At 38.8% G+C, this 17,523-nt stretch overlaps 1 long non-coding RNA gene across 1 annotated transcript; it reads left to right on the forward strand.

The window, feature by feature from the left end:
* Nucleotides 1–11,171: 11,171 nt before the first annotated feature.
* LOC105379540 (uncharacterized) lies at nucleotides 11,172–17,411 on the forward strand. The gene is made up of 3 exons (XR_951353.1): nucleotides 11,172–11,205; nucleotides 15,081–15,204; nucleotides 17,375–17,411. It is a non-coding gene; the product is annotated as an uncharacterized LOC105379540 (long non-coding RNA).
* The last annotated feature ends 112 nt before the right edge of the window (nucleotides 17,412–17,523 follow it).

A 17,523-nucleotide genomic window follows, 5' to 3' on the forward strand; every position in this document is an offset into this window, starting at 1 on the left:
ATGTTCATGCAATTCAGTGGAGGAGAGGGCCTTTCAGAGATAGAAGGATCGAGCTAGATTGCTCAATATATGAATGAGGACACTAGACTTGATTGTCGTTGTCCTGCCCCGTGTCACAGGTGTGATCTGTCAGGGCAGAAGCAGAGTTCCTTGTGTGCTCAGATGAGAGGGGTCACGGAGGTTCTCTCTGGTTCCCAGGAAAGGTAATTGCAGTAATCTTGGTGATGAGACTATTCTCCAGTGCTGACCTATTATAGAGTTTGCATATGAAATTGTCACTGCAATCCCCAATCTACATCTTTTAACACGGAAGTGTACAGAGGTCAGGCCACATCCTCAGGATCACACATTAAGGAGAATGGAGATCTGCCCCATTGCTTTCTCCTGCGATCTCCAATAGATCTCAGGATTCAAAACGACTCAGAAGGAAAGGTCTCAGGTGCTTCTGTTAAAATCACCCACTTCCTGGGACCGGAAGTTTCCCTCTAACCACGATGGATAAAAATAAATCACACTCCTGATCTTTTCCACATCCAAAGATTCCTGAAGGCAGAGCTGATTGATATCCTCACAGATAGACTACTGCCTTTCAGAGGTGAACTTGGTATTCAAGTTCCAGCAATTCTGAGAATTCAAGGACACCTCCATCTCTCCACTACTTTGCACCTCACCTAAAAACAGCTCTCTTGTTAGAGTGTCTTGTTTCCTGATGTAAATACATCACAAAATTATTTTCAATAGAGTGAGAAATAAAACCCAAGCTTATTCAAAACACAGATTCCTTGGAAATTATTCTGAGAGCTGGGAGTTCATGAAGAACTCCTAATTGCTATGCCAACCCTTCATTGTTATTGTCAGTCTTATGAGAAAATCAGCGCCAATCACACATCACAGGCCAAATCAGTAAACTAAAAGTCTTCTGTTAAAGATCTTAGGATCTCAGGCAGATGCTGAAGACACTGTCTCAGGAGCACCCAGCTTGTCCATAGGCCCTGCTGGACACTCACATGGGACATCCAGCATTCTCTTTCTCAGAGTCACCAGTGGTCTGTGCGGGTGGCTGATGAGACCAGAATGAGGCAAAGGCATCTGCTCAGTGTCGTAGTGATGGTCCAAGAAATGATCCAGATTGTCTCCATGCTAATCAAATATGGGTTCACTGTGAGGAACGCGTCCTGTGGGTGCTGGTTCTTCAGTGAAAGGACCTCTGTCCACAAAGTGTTTGGAAATGGAGCAGGGCATGCATTTCCTCAAGTGGGATTAGGACTTGGACCATCACCATCTCACTTTTGTATGGCTGATGTGCCATTTATCCTCTCTTTCTTGTCCTGAATCAGGTCTTGAGTTATAAAATTCTCTGAATCATGAATATGCAAATATCATGAGATCCACTGAGATTAAATATGGTTATTCTTGTGCTCTGAGAGCATCACCCAACAACCACATCCCTCCTCTAGAGAAGTTGCTGAGAACACAGCTCCTCACCATGGACTGGACCTGAAGGATCACTTTTTTGGTGGCAGCAGCTACAGGTAAAGGACCACCTACTCCGAAGGATGAGAGGACTCTTTTCAGTCAAAAAGAATTTCATCCACTCCTGTATTCTCTCCACAGGTGCCCAATTCCAGGTGCAGCTGGTGCAGTCTGGGGCTGAAGGAGGAAGCTTGGGGCCTCAGTGAAGGTGTCCCGCAAAGCTCTGGATACACCTTCACCAGCTACGATATTCACTGTGTGCGACAGGCCCCTGGATAAGGGTTTGAAAGGATGGGAGGGATCTACTCTGGCAATGGTAAGACAGGCTATGCACAGAAGTTTCAGGGCAGAGTCACCATGACCAGGGACATGTCCACGAGCACAGCCTACATGGAGCTGAGCAGTCAGAGATCTGAGGACATAGATGTGTACTACTGTGCGAGACACACAATGTGAAAACCCACATCCTGAGACAGTCAGCAATCCTGAGGGAGGTGGCAGCAGTGCTGGGCTTGAGAGATGACAGGGATTTTATTTGATTTAAAGACTTTTTTTAGAAAGCGAGTTTAAGTCATTGCTGAAAAAAGGAAAATAGAAATGCGTATAGACTCTAATTATGTGGGAAATTTTCCATACAACTTTTATTCTGTAAGCAAAATTCAGGGAGTGGAAAACAAATCAAATTAATAAAACCAATAATAGAATTCCTCTGAAAATATTAGTGCGAGCATAAGTTTTGGAACGGGTGTTGTAAATGTTTTGGAGCACAGCTGCTAAGATCACATTTTAACTCTACACTTATCTCCATTATATAAAATATCAAAATGTTTTAATGTTTTCCATTTTGTGCAATTATAATTTTGTGTTCATGCCAGCAATGCATGATAGATCTTGTTCTTCCGCATCCTCATTGCCATTTGGCACTATGAGTATTGCGTATTTTAACTATTCTAATAGATTAGTAGTGATATCTCATTGTTGTTTAAACGCACATATTTCTAATTAAAATTTTGTATTTAATTATTTCATATAATTGTGATGAAGTGTCTCGTATGGTATGTGGATTATTTTTTATTGCATTGTTTCTTTTTGATCAGTTGTAAGTTTCCTTATATACCCATTATATAAGTCACTCACGAAGTTAACAAAAAATTGATTAACAAATATGTGTTTTACAAGTATATTCTCCAAATTGTAGTTGTTGTTTTACTCCCATATCAGTGTCTGTGGCAGAAAAATATTTATATACATATGTGTGTGTGTGCATATATATATAGTGTGTGTGTGTGTATGTGTAAACTTACATAAAATAATTATTTCATAGCTCATACTTTCGGCATGATATCTAAAAACTAATTATGAATTCCACTAACAGGATTTTTCTCTTGTCTCAAATCTCAGGCCACAATCACAGCATAACTATTTGAATTTCTCCTATTTAATGAGAAGATTATTAAGATGTTTAGAATTCTTCTGAATGGAAGGTGCCTTTTTTCTAATTTTCTTTATTCAATAATCTGTTAATGTCGGTGTTGGCTCATGAATGTTTATTTTTTACTATGGAGAAGATCTGGTGCTACATTATTTATTTTATCGCTCAAATCACCACAGCTTTTTTTTAGGTTCTGTGAGCTCATTTAGTTTGGATTCTGTATTTTTACAGCATGCCCCATCCTTTTGTTTTTGATCACTTCCCTATTTCCTGGTGTTACAAGAAATACTAAGCTCATTATCTCTATTATCTTTTCTACACATAGAATCAGTTATTTCTCCAAGGATTGCCGGTCCTTGATATTAAAGAATTATATTAACACACAAAATTATGATGTTGGGTGTGTGTGTTGTTAATGTACTGTCAGTGTTTCTAGAATCTCTAAGCTAACAGGCCTAGAAAATGTGTATGTATATATTAACCCATGTTAATGGACCCATCTAATCTATTTATGTATCCAATCTTCTGTATGTTTATTGCCTCAAACTTTAGAACACTGGTATCTACAATCTACTATGATGATACATGAATGTTTCAAGCTTTCCTTCCTTGCCTGTCCATAACCACCTACTGCAAAGTGAGGAACCCCTCCCATCATTTGCCATTCATTCAATTTGTTGTACAATTTAGAATATATGCATCGTGGTATTAGAATTGTTAACTTGTACCCCTGTTGGAAGTATGTTTATTGACTAGAAAAAAGTGTTTAAGTGCAGTTTCTTTATACTTTAGATTTACAGAACACCCTGATTTCTAAGTTATATAGGTGAGAAACTTTATGTGCCACCTTCTTCAGTGAGGTTATTTGAAATATGTTGTATACATTTTATTTGACATTCTGTAAAAGACAAAACTGTAGATGTCATAAATATATGAGGATTTTCTAGAAATTTAGAGAGAGGGTATGCATTAGGAGAAAAAGGTACTGTTTGCAAACAGTGAAACTTTTTTATGATCTGCAGTAGTGAACGCATGACACAATTTGTTAATTCTCATAATTCTATGATGTAAACTATGAATCTAAATATATACAACTTATAAAATGATGTAGCACATCATGAACCCCAGGATAAAATGCAGAGTGTACAAAAATAAAATATCAAATACATTTACACCGTGTGGGCAGGGAATTGCATGAGATGCAGGCAACAAAGAATGAAGTAACTTTCCCCATTTGCACATAAGATGTTTCCATTCACAAGAGACTTTTCTTTTATCAGGTTCATGTGCAACCAAGTTTCCCTGCTGACAAGCAATTAATCCAGATGATTCGCATCTTCCTTTGACTGAGAAAGATTTCCCTCAAACTTCAGCTCAGTCCAGGCACACACCGTCTCTGAATGGGCATTTACCATCAGACAATGCCCACACCTGTCCCCACGTGGACCTTTCCCTCAGACAAACGCATCCTCAGGTTGACTCTTCCCTCAGACAAGCACCCCTGTCTTCATGTGAACTCTTCCCTCAGATAAGCACACATGTCCCCACATTGACTTTTTCCTCAGACAAGCACATATAGCTGACAACGAACAGTTATGTGGCAAGATGAGCTTAGGATAGTGGTAATTATGGACTCCAGCTCTGATAGTTTGTAGAAATTGTCATTTTTAAAATTCTAACTGAAGACTTTCCTTTATTGTAGAAGACAGTCCTTTACAGCTCTAATTGCACAGCCTACAGGCAGGAGTCCATTTCCTCTGGGCAAGGTTTATTTTTATTTGTTTACTGTACTTATTTGTTGATAAATATTGATACTGTAAAGATACCCTATAGGGGTCCACATACGAGAAAAAAAAGAGTAATGGGCAGATCAACCCTGAACATCCAGTCCCAGGAATCCTTTGACCCTGCCCTCCCTGGAATCCAGAGACAGAGATGGGAAGAGGCCTGCTGAGCAGTGCACTCATGTCCCCAGGGAGAAAGACATGGAAATGAAGCCCCTCCTCTGCAAATGAAAAGTAGCTCATCCCCTGTTCCTGTAGATCCTGGTGAGGAGCCACCCCACATCTGTGCCCTTCCTCAGTGTCCACACCATGGGGTCTGTGCTGATCTGGGCTTCTCTTGTCATCACTCTCAATATCCAGGTTCCCCGTGGATCAGGCCCTGCTGTGGCTGCTCAAAGGTGGGGCTGTTCTCAGTCTGTTGCCTCTGTGTTTGCAGAAGTCCCCTGTGACGTTAACTAACGGAGTCAGACAGAGAAATACTACAGACCAGGAATTCTGCCTTTTCTGCAAAGCCTCTGGATTCACTTTCACTGAAAACAGCATAAGCTTGATCCAGCAGGCTTCATGACAGGGGTGGGTGTGGGTAATAACAATAATTCAAATGGAAGTTCTCAGTGGGACTCTCCTTGAGTAAAAAGATGATTAACAATCCTCAAATACACTCAGTTCAGGAGATTCTCTTTTAAGATGATTAACCTGAGAGCTCAGGAAAAGTCCGTGTATTACTTTGAGGGACACAGTGAGGGGACATCTGAGTGAGCTCAGACACCAACCTCCCTGCAGGGGGACAGGAGGGGACTGCCTGGTAGATGCTTCTCAGAACCACCAGGGGGTGCTCAGGACATCAGGGGGCGCTAAGAACCATCAGGAGATGCTCAGGACACCAGGGGGTGCTCAGGACACCATGGGTTACTCAAAACCACCAGGGGGCGCTCAGAACACAAGGGGGCACTCAAAACCACCAGAGGGTGCTCAGAACCACCATGGGGCACTGATGACAAGAAAGGATGTTCAGAACCACCTGGGGGTGCGGAGCCTCAGGAAAACAGCGGGTGCTCAGAACCACCAGGGGGCACTCAGGACACTGGGGTGGGGGTCACTCAGAACCACCAGGGGGCACTCCAGACACGGTGGTGAGGGGTAGCTCAGGATAGCAGGGTTGCTCAAAACCACCAGGGGGCGCTCAGGACACTGGGGGGGGGGGTGTGGCGGGGGGGGGGTCACAGAGAACCACCAGGGGGCACTCCAGACACAGTGGTGAGGGGTAGCTCAGGATAGCAGGGGTGCTCAGAACCACCAGGGGGCACTCAGGACACTTGGTGGGGGTCACTCAGAACCACCAGGGGACACTGGAGACACCAGGGAGCCCTCAGGACACTAGGGGGAGCTCAGAAACACCAAAGGGCAATCAAGACACCAGGGGGATCTCAGAACCACCAGGAGGTGCTCAGGACACCAGGGGTCTCAGAACCACTAGGGTGTGCTCAGAACCACGAGGGGGCCCTCAGAACCCCAGAGGATGCTCAGATCCACTAGGGGGATCTTAGGACCCCAGGGGGCTCAGAACCACTAGGGGGTTTTGAGGACACCAGGGGGCGCTCAGGACACCAGCGGGTGCTCAGAACCACCAGGGGGTACTCAGGAAACCAGGGGACTCAGAACCACTAGGGAGCACTCAGGACATGAGGAGGCACTCAGAACCACCGGGGACGATCGGGACACCAGGTGGTTCAGAACCACTAGGGTGTGCTCAGAACCACCAGGGGTGCTCAGAACCCCAGGGGGGCGCTCAGGACACCAGGGGCATCTCAGAATCACCAGGCCGTGCTCAGGACACCGGGGGGTGCTCAGGACCTCCAGGGGCGCACAGGACGCAAAGGATAGCTCAGAACCTACAGGGGGCGATCAGAACACCAGGGTGCGTTGAGGACAAGGGGCTCACAGGACACAACGATGTGCTTAGTAAACCAGGGGTTGCTCACAACCACCAGGGGGTACTCAGGACACCAGGGGGTGCTCAGGAAACCAGGGAGCAGTGAGGACACCAAGGGGCACTGAGGACACCACTGCTCCCTTAGGAGGCAGCTCCAAATCAGGTCCCTGAGTGGGAGCAGGGAGGAGGGTTCCTCTTGTATCTTGCCACTAACATGGTGGGAGTTTTTCTGCTTCCTTTGTGGTTTCAATCATTGGCAGATTCTTCGGTATAAAGCAGAGCAAGTATAAAGCTCTGCTTTCTTGTATTGTGTCATGTTTTTGGCTTTGGATGCTACCAGAATTACGTTGTACTTTGAGAGGATTCATTCATGGTGTGTGCAATAGTGAATGAAAGCGGTAATTTTAGGGGTGGCTTTGAAAGCTATGTTAGGTGTGGCTGAGGGCAGTTTACAGGAAATGGTCATCACTATAGAAGGCTACTCATTTCTTTGCACATTTGCATAAGCAATTGTACTTTATGAATTAAAAACTGCATGTTTTCTTGGCCCTTTTTCTTAAATGGTCCCACTCTAAGGGCAGTAATGTAATCAAGCTGTGTTTCAAAGACCTCCAATCAAGTTAAGTCTGTTTAGTGAAATGCTTTGTAAAGAAAATGTACATCTATTTTTCAGAGTCACCTTTACATTTTACATTGCTTTACAAATATTAATTTGGTAAATTTAGACTCATAATTGTCTTCAGTAATTTAAAATCTTAAACTCATGTCATGTTAAATTAAGTAATCCTAGGCTTCTCACTGTGAATTAGGGTTACTAAAAATTAGAATAGTAAGAGAGTATAATCAATTTATGGTGAAGTTTATAAAGAAAGATGAGGATATGTTTTTGGCTTAAAAATATTTTGTTTTCCGGTTTACAGGGCCTTTCTACTGGTTTTAAGATGACAACCACTGTTTACATCTAACCCTTTTTTGTTGAACATCTGTTGAGTTTGTATTGATATTCCATAGCTAGAGTTTTAAAGTAAAAGCTCTAGTATCTTTGTATTAGTGTGAATGTGTGCTTGTATGTATTATGTACATATATATATATTTTTTTGTTATGTGTTATGGCTACAAGGTACAAAATTGACTTTAAAATAAATAACTATTTTAAATTAAGTCAATGAGCCCTAACGCATCTGAAGTACATGTAACTTAAATAAATATGTAATAAATAAGCTGGCTTCAAAATTATTGGTAAAATAAAATTAGAAATATTTTAACAATTATCAGAATACCTTATGGTTTATATCAATTGATCAAGTGATTTTATATTTAAAATTGCAGCTGGATGTTATATGGTGTGAAACATTTCTATGAAGATTATAAAATTATTAACCTAGTTAAAACCAGAATGATCTTTGTAATTTGACAAATAAAATGTTTAATATTATTGTTTTAATAAAAAACAGGTAAATAGTTATTGGAAATACAATCATTTATTTAATAAGAATTTTACTTAGGTAAACACCTGAAATTCATGGGTTATAATATGGATAACAGGGAAAAAGCTTTAAAGGATGAGTATTATAGTTTTCATAAATGATCTAGGTAAGCTATTTAAAAAATAAATTAAGTTAATGTAACACAATAAACCTTTTAAATAAACTTGTTCTACAATTTAAAAATCTAAAGTTTAATTAAATAATAGATATTGACTAAATGTTTAGGTCATTGCTAATCATTTTAAGAATGTATACTATAAGAAAATATTTTTGTAAAATATTTGTTCTTACAAAAAGATTTTATTTAATTCAGAGGTTACTTATAAAACATCCTAAACATAACCAGTAAATAAGAGAGATGCCACTGCACTCCAGCCTGGGTGAAAGAGCAAGATTCTGTCTCAAAAAAAAAAAAAAGAAATTTTTAGACATAGAGGAGTACTTTTGGTGTGAAAGGTTAAAATAAAAAAATAAAAATAATTTTATATGAGAAAGAATCTTGTATTGCAACTTTTTATCCTAAAATAAAAATGACTTTATTTAAGAAAGAGTGATGTTTAGAATAAAACTATATGTTCAAGTATGCCATAAGCGTTTTTTGTAAGTCAAACTAAGGTTTGTAAAAAGTTAATTTATTAAAATAACTTCATATTATGAAGTTGACTATAATTAAAAGGGAAGTATTTATAATAGTCCTTATAGATTTGTAGAGATCTGGCTTTCATATAAAAATATATAAATATACTAAAGATTGGTTAGAATGAAAAATTGTCTTAAAGTATTGATTTACTCAATAAAATTATAAGATATTTTAATTTTTTAACCCAAAAGTTTAACTCTTAAACTGCGTCTTGCCAGTTTTATTCTCTTTTGAGAAGGCTTGAGAGGATCTCAAATTTTTCATGAGCTCATCTAACAATTTTTTTCTTACAGCAGTTAGCCTCTAACAGAGTTAACTTCTAACGTTGTTAGCTTCTAACTGCTATGATTGCCTGATGCTAAAAATCTTTTATATTAAAGTTCTTAATAAAATGTTTTATTTCAATATAGTATTCTGCACTCTTGGGTTTTTTAAAATGTCTATATTTGTCTATGAAACCAAAATCTTCACTTGTAATCCAAGACACATTCTTCCTATGTCTAATTAATCAAATACTTCGTTTCATTAGAGTTGACTTGCAGGTTATCTACATGGATTTCCCCACAGGGAAACACAGTCACACTGCTGAAGGTGTTTTTTTTTCCCATTTGGTAAATGGCATAAAACAAATTTTATATTTTCTTGAAATACTTCCTCTGTAGTTGTTTTTAAGTTTTTCAACTACTTAGGAATACTGAGATTTTGAGAAAATATAAATTAATGTTATTACGTTAATGTAACTATCTGCGTAACTTTTAAAGGCCTTGTGCTGCTACATTACTGATCTTTGATTCCTAGGTCTAAAAAGGATACACAACACTTTGGGAGGCTTTGGAGGGTGGATCTCCTGAGGGCAGGAGTTAGAGACGAGCCTGGCCAAAACGGCACAATCCCATTTTAATAAAAAATACAAAAATTAGCTGGGCGTGGTGGCGGGCGCATGTAATCCCAACTGCTTGGAAGCCTGAGGCAGGGAGAATTGCTTGAACCTGGGAGGCAGAGGTTACAGTAAGCCGAGATTGCACCACTGCACTCCAGTCTGGGTGAGACTCTGTCTCAGGAAAAACAAATAAATACAATAAAAATAAAAAAGACACCGAGTCTTGCTAAATTTTAAACTCTGACAGCAATTGAAGCCCCATCTAGAGATGTGGAAGAAAATGACAATAAAAATTAATCACACACTTAAGACACAAGGCCAGAAATTGAATCTACTCAACCACTCCAGGCCCAGGGACTGTTACAGAAGAAGTGGTTTGTAAGATTGTAAAAGCTAATTTTGAAAGATGAAATTACTTGAAAGTTTCTTTATACAGTAAACATTAATTGACAAGGGTTTCTTGAAGAATTAATCCACTTTTTAATTTGAAAAACTTATAAAAGTTTATAAGAGATCATTTGAAATTAAATTTTATGGTAAAAGTAATTATAATGTAATAGATTTATTTTTCGGAATTGAGAGACAGTTTTAACTTCTCTCATGCTGTTCTTATAAGGGGTTATTGTTTAGAAAATTAATTCTTCTCTTTGAAAAATAAAAGTTTTTGCTTTCTTTCAAAATCACTGAGTTCTCGCTGGACTAAATAAATAACTTACATTACAACAATCTGTAATCCTATTTTGTAATATCAAACATTGTAAACTTTTGATATTTGACAAACTTCACAAAATAAAATTCTAAATGCAGTCATTTGACCTCATTATTCTTTTCTGATATTAGGTCCCCAAAGCCAAAATTAAACTTATTCAGCTTATTTGGTATAATTAAAATATGCAGGGAGCTACGTCAAATTTGCAAAAGTGTTTTAACTTTGGACTATATTTAAATAAATGTGGACTATATAATTGGACCATATTTATATAAATTAAAGAGCATATTTTCCAAAATCGTATGAGATCCAAGTGATTTGATATGTCTTAGTATATTTTATCGGTAGTGTTTATGATTATTATGTAAAATTTCTGTTTATTGCAGAAGTAACCAAATTTTCCCCTCAATTCTGCCTTTAACCATGGCTATTCTAAAACTTCAGTCATCCACAGTTGGTGTTTTACTTTGATTCTTTATCAAGTGGCTTATAATAATCTATAGAATTTTGAGGAGTACTCTTAAATATACGATTGTGACAATTTTATAAATTGTGCCATTGGTATAGAGATTAAAACTTCCAAGACTCTCATTGATACCTGATTGATTTATGATGATTGTTAATCTAATATTAAGCAGGACAGGACTTAATTGCATGAACTGAATTGACAGAAGACTGAAATTATTTTTATGGCTTATTCTTTAAAGCATTTGCTAATTACTTATGTTCTGTTTTTTCAGAATCAGGAAAAGTTTGTCTTTTAAGCTATTCACAGTTGTTAACAATTGAGTATGGTATACTTTATTAAGAAAAAAATAAAAACATAATATCTTCTTATATACATAATTTCTCCAAAATTTGGAAACTGTGAGTATTCTTATATCAAAATAGTTATTTGCATAGGTTCAATAAAAATCTGCTTTCTTCCATAACAGGGCACAATTGGAGACAATGGTCATTTTACTAAGTCTTTAACTTGAATTATATATTTTCATATTTACTTTATAAAATGAATCTAACCTGGAGAGCTGATAAAGCCCCTTGGGAAAACTGGCATGTACCTTTTTTTTTTTTTTTTACAGGGCCCTGAAGTGTAGTAAGTAAACAATTTAATTTCTGACAGACCCAGGACTCCCAAGTTTTCTTGGAAACTTGAAAAAAGAGAAAGTAACCCAATTCACATAGCTATCTGGTGGCACAGATAAAATATTGACTGGGCTTGAAGATTTTAAAGACTCTACCCTTTGACTCCTTACAAAAAATTTCTAGCAAAGTCAATTTATGAATAAAATTGCCTATGTACAAACAAAAAATAGAAAACAAAAAAGAGAGCTAATATGTTAAATGATTATTTTGCTGCCTCTTATACAAAAAAACCAGGCCAAGTCTCATAAGCCTAAAACTGATTTTACAAATAAATTGGTCCTACTATGATTTTGTCTCGAATAAAATTGGGGAATTATAGAGAGAAATATTATTTCAAAATAAACTATAGTGCATCAGTTAATAGATTTTAACCTTGTCCACTTGCTTTTCAATTTATATTATCTTCTACAATTTGGACTGAATTTTAAAGCGTATCTTTGCACAAGTCTCCAAAATAACGTTTTCAATTATTTCCCTTTTTAAATATTTTTCCTAACTTGAAACCAGCAGAAGTTAAGCTGTGCTTTCTTACAGCTAGACAATGTAAATTCTAAAGAAAATAAAATCAATGATATGGTTTGGCTCTGTGTCCCTACCCAAATCTCACCTTTTATTGTAATAATTCACACATTGCAAGGGTGGAATGAGGTGGAAATAATTGAATCATACGGGCTGTTTTCTTCCTGCTTTTCTCCTGTTAGTGAGTGAGTTATCACAAGATTTGATAATTTTATGAGGGGCTTCCCTCTTCACTTAACACTTCTCTCTCCTGCAGTCATGTGAAATAGCATGTGTTTGCTACCCTTTGCATCATGATTGTAAGTTTTTTGTGGCCTCCCCAGCCATGAAGAACTGTGAGTTAATTAAACCTATTTTTCTTTATAAATTACCCAGCCTCATGTATGTCCTTATAGCAACCTGAACATGGACTAATACAAGCAACTTAATTACATATGAAGTCTCCTTTTGTACCTGCCTATTGTGAAGAGAAAATAAATCTTGAGACCCCAAAATCACTAAGCTAAAGAGAAGAGTCCAGCTGGTGTAATAGGAGATAGAAAGAAATTATTTAGGTAGATAGTTAGGATGAAAGAGTCTCTGGCAAAAACTTTTCTTCTAACAAGAATCAGCTCAAAAATAACTTCTTTTCTAATCAGACACAGTTCAAAGAGATCACTTCTAACAAAGAGCAGCCTGAAAGATTGGGCTGTAAAATATAGATAAACAACTCTGGCAGAGAGGGTATTTCTGTTTGTAATCACCAAAGTTCACATACATAGGATGGGTCCCAATAAAAACACTGGGCCTTAATGAGCACATTCCTTTCCTTTTCTGGGGTCACACTGAGCTAGGAAAGCTGTTAGCTTGTACGGGGTTTGGGATGCCCCCAGCTGCAAGGAGGTACCTGGGACCTGGCATGGAAACTCCTCCCTCCTTTTTCAGCACACGCATGGTGGAAGGAGATAAGGAACGTGGAGCAGACCAAGCTAAGTCCCCACCTGCATAATAAAAGCATGAGATGGGGCTGCCAGAGACTTCGCTCTATGCAGATGGCACACCTGGTCCTGTTTTTGCATCCTATGTTGATAAGATACCCTCTCCCCAGTAGCACATTTATAAAAATCCTTACATTTTACTGCAGCACAGCAACCCATTTGGGACCCCTTTCTGTGACAGAGAGCTTTTTTTTTTTCCTTTTACATATGAAATTTCTGCTCCAACCTCACCTTTTGTGTGTCTGTGTCCTTGATTTTCATAGCCACGACACAAAGAACCTTCGGTGATATTCCAGAAAACAAGGGTGTTTTACTGGAAAGGGCTTTGGGCAAACCTGCCTCCCTTTCTATTCAAAGTCATTCCTCTGAGGCCCACATGAGACAGATACATATCTGATTGCTTCCTCTTCAGTATCACTTATGAAAAAATGAAGATTCACTAAGTCTGACTAAATTGTGGATTCAGTGGTAGGCTGATAAAGGACTTAAAACAATGCAATCTACTGTGTCTTATCTACTTCTAAACTGCAAAACCCCCTCTCAATTTGTCCTGTCTTGAAGGAAAAAAAAATGTACATTTTACATATATTGATTGATGTCTCATGTCTCTCTAAAATGTATAAAAGCAAGCTGTACTTCTATCACCTTGGGCACATGTCTCAGGACTTCCTGAGGCTTGCCATGGGTGGGTTCTTAACTTTGGCAAAATAAATATATTAGTCTGTTCTCCTGCTACTAATAAAAACATAACCAAGCCTGGGTAATTTGTAAAGGAATGAGGTTTAATGGACTTATGGTTCCACATGGCTGGGGATGCTTCACAATCATGTCAGGAAAGCAAGGGACATCTTACATGGTGGCAGACAAGAGAGAGTTTGTGCAGGGGAACTCCCCTTGATAAAACTATCAGATCTAATGGGACTTATTCACTATCATGAGAACAGCATGGGAAAGTGCTGACTTACTGCAGGAGAACTACGTAATTTTATATTTCCCTATGTGCTTCTTTTTCATTACACATGTAAATTTTCTTACCATCCAAACTTCCCCTCTACCCAGCTTTTCCTCTGTGTATATTGAAAGCCCTAAAAATCGTCTTTAAGGAATGGCACTAACCACACACAGTTTCTGTGGTTACTTTTATTTTTCTTCCAGGCTGTCCTAACTTTGAGAAAATTAATTTTAATTTGATTGAGATCTGTCTCAGAAACCTTTGGTTTACACTAGGAAAGATCCCAAATTAGGAGCCAATTACTGTAAAAATCAGCCATACCACTCTGCGTGTGTGTGTGGGGGGGGGGTGGTTGGTGTATATGTGTGTGTACATGCATGTTTTCATTTCTGTGGGCTTTAAGCCATGTAGTTCTCTCTGTGAAGATACTTTTTGGCATGAACTTTGAATAGAGAATTGTAAGAGAAATAAGAGGCTCCTATGAATTATCTGAAAGTTTCTGGACTCACCATGGATCTTGACTGTGTCATTGCATCTGACAGTCCCAGGGAAGTGACTCTCTGGTGGTTTCATGAATCTGTGCTTGGGCTCTCCCTGCAGTTTACTGGGTATAGTAATGACAAATCACTGTTTCAAGAGACAATTTCAAAAGCATCAGATGCTGCTGAAAGAGGATTGTGAACCAGGGGACAGCCCTTTCATTCTGGGAGAGCAACATTGGGAGAATATGCTCTGTGAGCCCAAACAGCATCCTCCCCAGCAGGGTGAGGGCAGAGCTGCAGGGCAGGCCCAGAACCCACTCAACACAGACGTCAGCCCTGAGCTGGTGCAAAGGAGTCTGAGGAGAAAATTTTACCAGCATCTGAATTACACTTATTTCAAACAAAAATGCATGTCCTGTGAGTGTTTGTTTCACTATTAGAGGAGTTCTGTACTCATGAAGTTCTGGACATGCCAGCGGACAAATATCAGTAAACAAACATCAGAACTTGAACCTCAGCTTCCCACTGTTGCATTCTCCATGTGTCATGTCTATTATTTCTCATGCTAGATCAGGTATTTAGCTATGAAATATTCCAGTTAATTAACATGTAAGTAGCTTGAAGTCTACTGAGTTAAATACATATATTTTCTCCTGTTTTTCCCAGGTGTTCCCTCCCACACCTCCAATAGTCTCCACTATTATCATCGTCTTCTAGATCTTCTGCGATGCCCTGGAGATTAAGGATTTGATTCCATGACAGAGAGGAGGTACATTTCGATGGAACTTTGGTGAGAACCTTGGTTTTTATCCCATTTCCTCTGGGGCTCCACCAGTGCCTCTGGAATCATGGTTTCAGTGGCTTGCCCCTGTATGGTAGGTAATCCCTTTATTCTGTAGTGCTGATGAGGGAGGTGGGTCTGAACGCATTTCGGTAGTATGGGCTCTCCTTCTGTCTCAGACAGACACTTTGGGAAAGGAAGATTTTTCTGAGTGTCCTCATTCTAGAACAAAGGGATTCAATTGCATAGGAATGCGGATAATAGAAAACCTTCAGCCAAATTAAGGTTAATGAGATTAATTGAGCAATGGATGATTCATGAATTGGGCAGCCCCCAGAATCGCAGCAGATTCAAAGAGACTTCAGTGCAGTCACATGGTGGAAGAAGGTTTATAGATTAGAAAAATGATGTACAGAAATCAGAAGTGAGGTACAGAAACAGCTGGATTGGTTACAGGTTGTTTTTGTCTTATTTAAACAAAATGTGCACACTCAAGAGTGTATGAGTGGTTGAGGTATGGCTGCTGGAATTGGCCAAGACTCCGCTATTGTTACAGGCTCATGCTCTGAAGTTGGCTTTTCAATCTTGTCCACCTATTCAGGTAGGTTACAGTTTGTCCAGAAGGACTCAAACACAGAATTACGGAGTCCTTCTCAGGCCATATTTAATTCACTTTATCAGTGCCCTTCAGTATGTGGTTCCTGAGAATTTTACACGACAACACGTTTACCACACTGGAATTTAAGCAATCCAACACGTTTGTAGCTTTGTCTTGTTTTATTTATTTATTTTTTTATTTTTTGAGACGGAGTCTCGCTCTGTCGCCCAGGCCGGACTGCGGACTGCAGTGGCGCAATCTCGGCTCACTGCAAGCTCCGCTTCCCGGGTTCACGCCATTCTCCTGCCTCAGCCTCCCGAGTAGCTGGGACTACAGGCGCCCACCACCGCGCCCGGCTAATTTTTTGTATTTTTGGTAGAGACGGGGTTTCACCTTGTTAGCCAGGATGGTCTCGATCTCCTGACCTCATGATCCACCCGCCTCGGCCTCCCAAAGTGCTGGGATTACAGGCGTGAGCCACCGCGCCCGGCCTGTAGCTTTGTCTTGTAATAGGCTATATTTCATGTGGCAGCCTCGGCCTCAGTTTAGCTAACACTATGGCTTCATTTCTCTCTACAAGAACTCATTTCTTTCAAGATTTCCACGTTCCTGAAAGGAAAATAAACCTTTGGGACCACCAAATCACTAAGCCCAAGGGAAGTCAAGCTGAAAACTGTTTGGGGTAAATCCACCTCCATTATTTCACTAAAATGATAGCTACTACGGTTTTTAAAAGCTACAGACCTCCTTCAAAATTTGACCACAAGTAAAATCCTTGTGGGCCAAAGACAGACAGAGTCATTTCTCTGCTCATGTAAGTCAAATGCATATCTGATTGCTCCCTTTGCTCTATTATTTCACTAAGCCAGATTAAGGCCTACGTGACTATTCCTGTAAATTGTGCATTCAGTTAAAGGCTAATCAGAAACTCAAATAATGCAACCATTTCTCTCAAACCTACCTATGATCTAGAAGCCCTCTCCCCACTTCAAGTTGTCCTGCCTTTCTGAACTAAATCAATGTACATCTTATATACATATATTGATTAATGTCTCATGCCTCCCTAAATTGTATAAAACCAAGCTGTGCCCACAAGCTTGGGCACACATCATCAGGACTCCCTGAGGCGGTGTCACAGGCATGTCCTTAATCTTGGAAAATGAACTTCCTAAATCTATTGAGATTAGTCTCAGATACTCTTTGATTTACAGGTTTGTTTTTTGTTTCATAACTTCAATTATTTGACATGCTAAAGAAAATTTGCCAAATAGCACATTCTCTTGTTTACGTGTTATTGTTGTTGCAAAAATAATATATTTTATATATAATTTATCATCTATGTACATTACCAAATTGAGTAGCAGATTTATTAGTAAGACCCAAAGTAATGAAAAGTTTGAATACCAATTAGCAACTTAGAAAAACAAATTATGCTACATTTGTTTGCTGAAATGCTACCTATTATTTATTAAAAAATAAACAATACAACATAAAAGGTTTAATTCTCGGTATTTCTACTGAGAAAAATAAGCCAAATAGATAAGAGTACATACTATATTGTTTCATTCTTATAAATTCTAGAGAATAAAAACTAGTCTAAAGAAATATGAAAACATCAGTACTTTTATAAAGAAATGGTAGAAGAAAAGAGGAGAAAAACAAAATTATGTCTGTAAAAGAGCAAGAGGAATTCTGAGGTGAGTTGACTTGTCACCTTCTTGAAAATAGAG

The sequence above is a fragment of the Homo sapiens genome (assembly GCF_000001405.40).
Source record: "Homo sapiens chromosome 16 unlocalized genomic scaffold, GRCh38.p14 Primary Assembly HSCHR16_RANDOM_CTG1".
In the NCBI taxonomy this organism is placed as follows: Eukaryota; Metazoa; Chordata; class Mammalia; order Primates; family Hominidae; genus Homo; species Homo sapiens.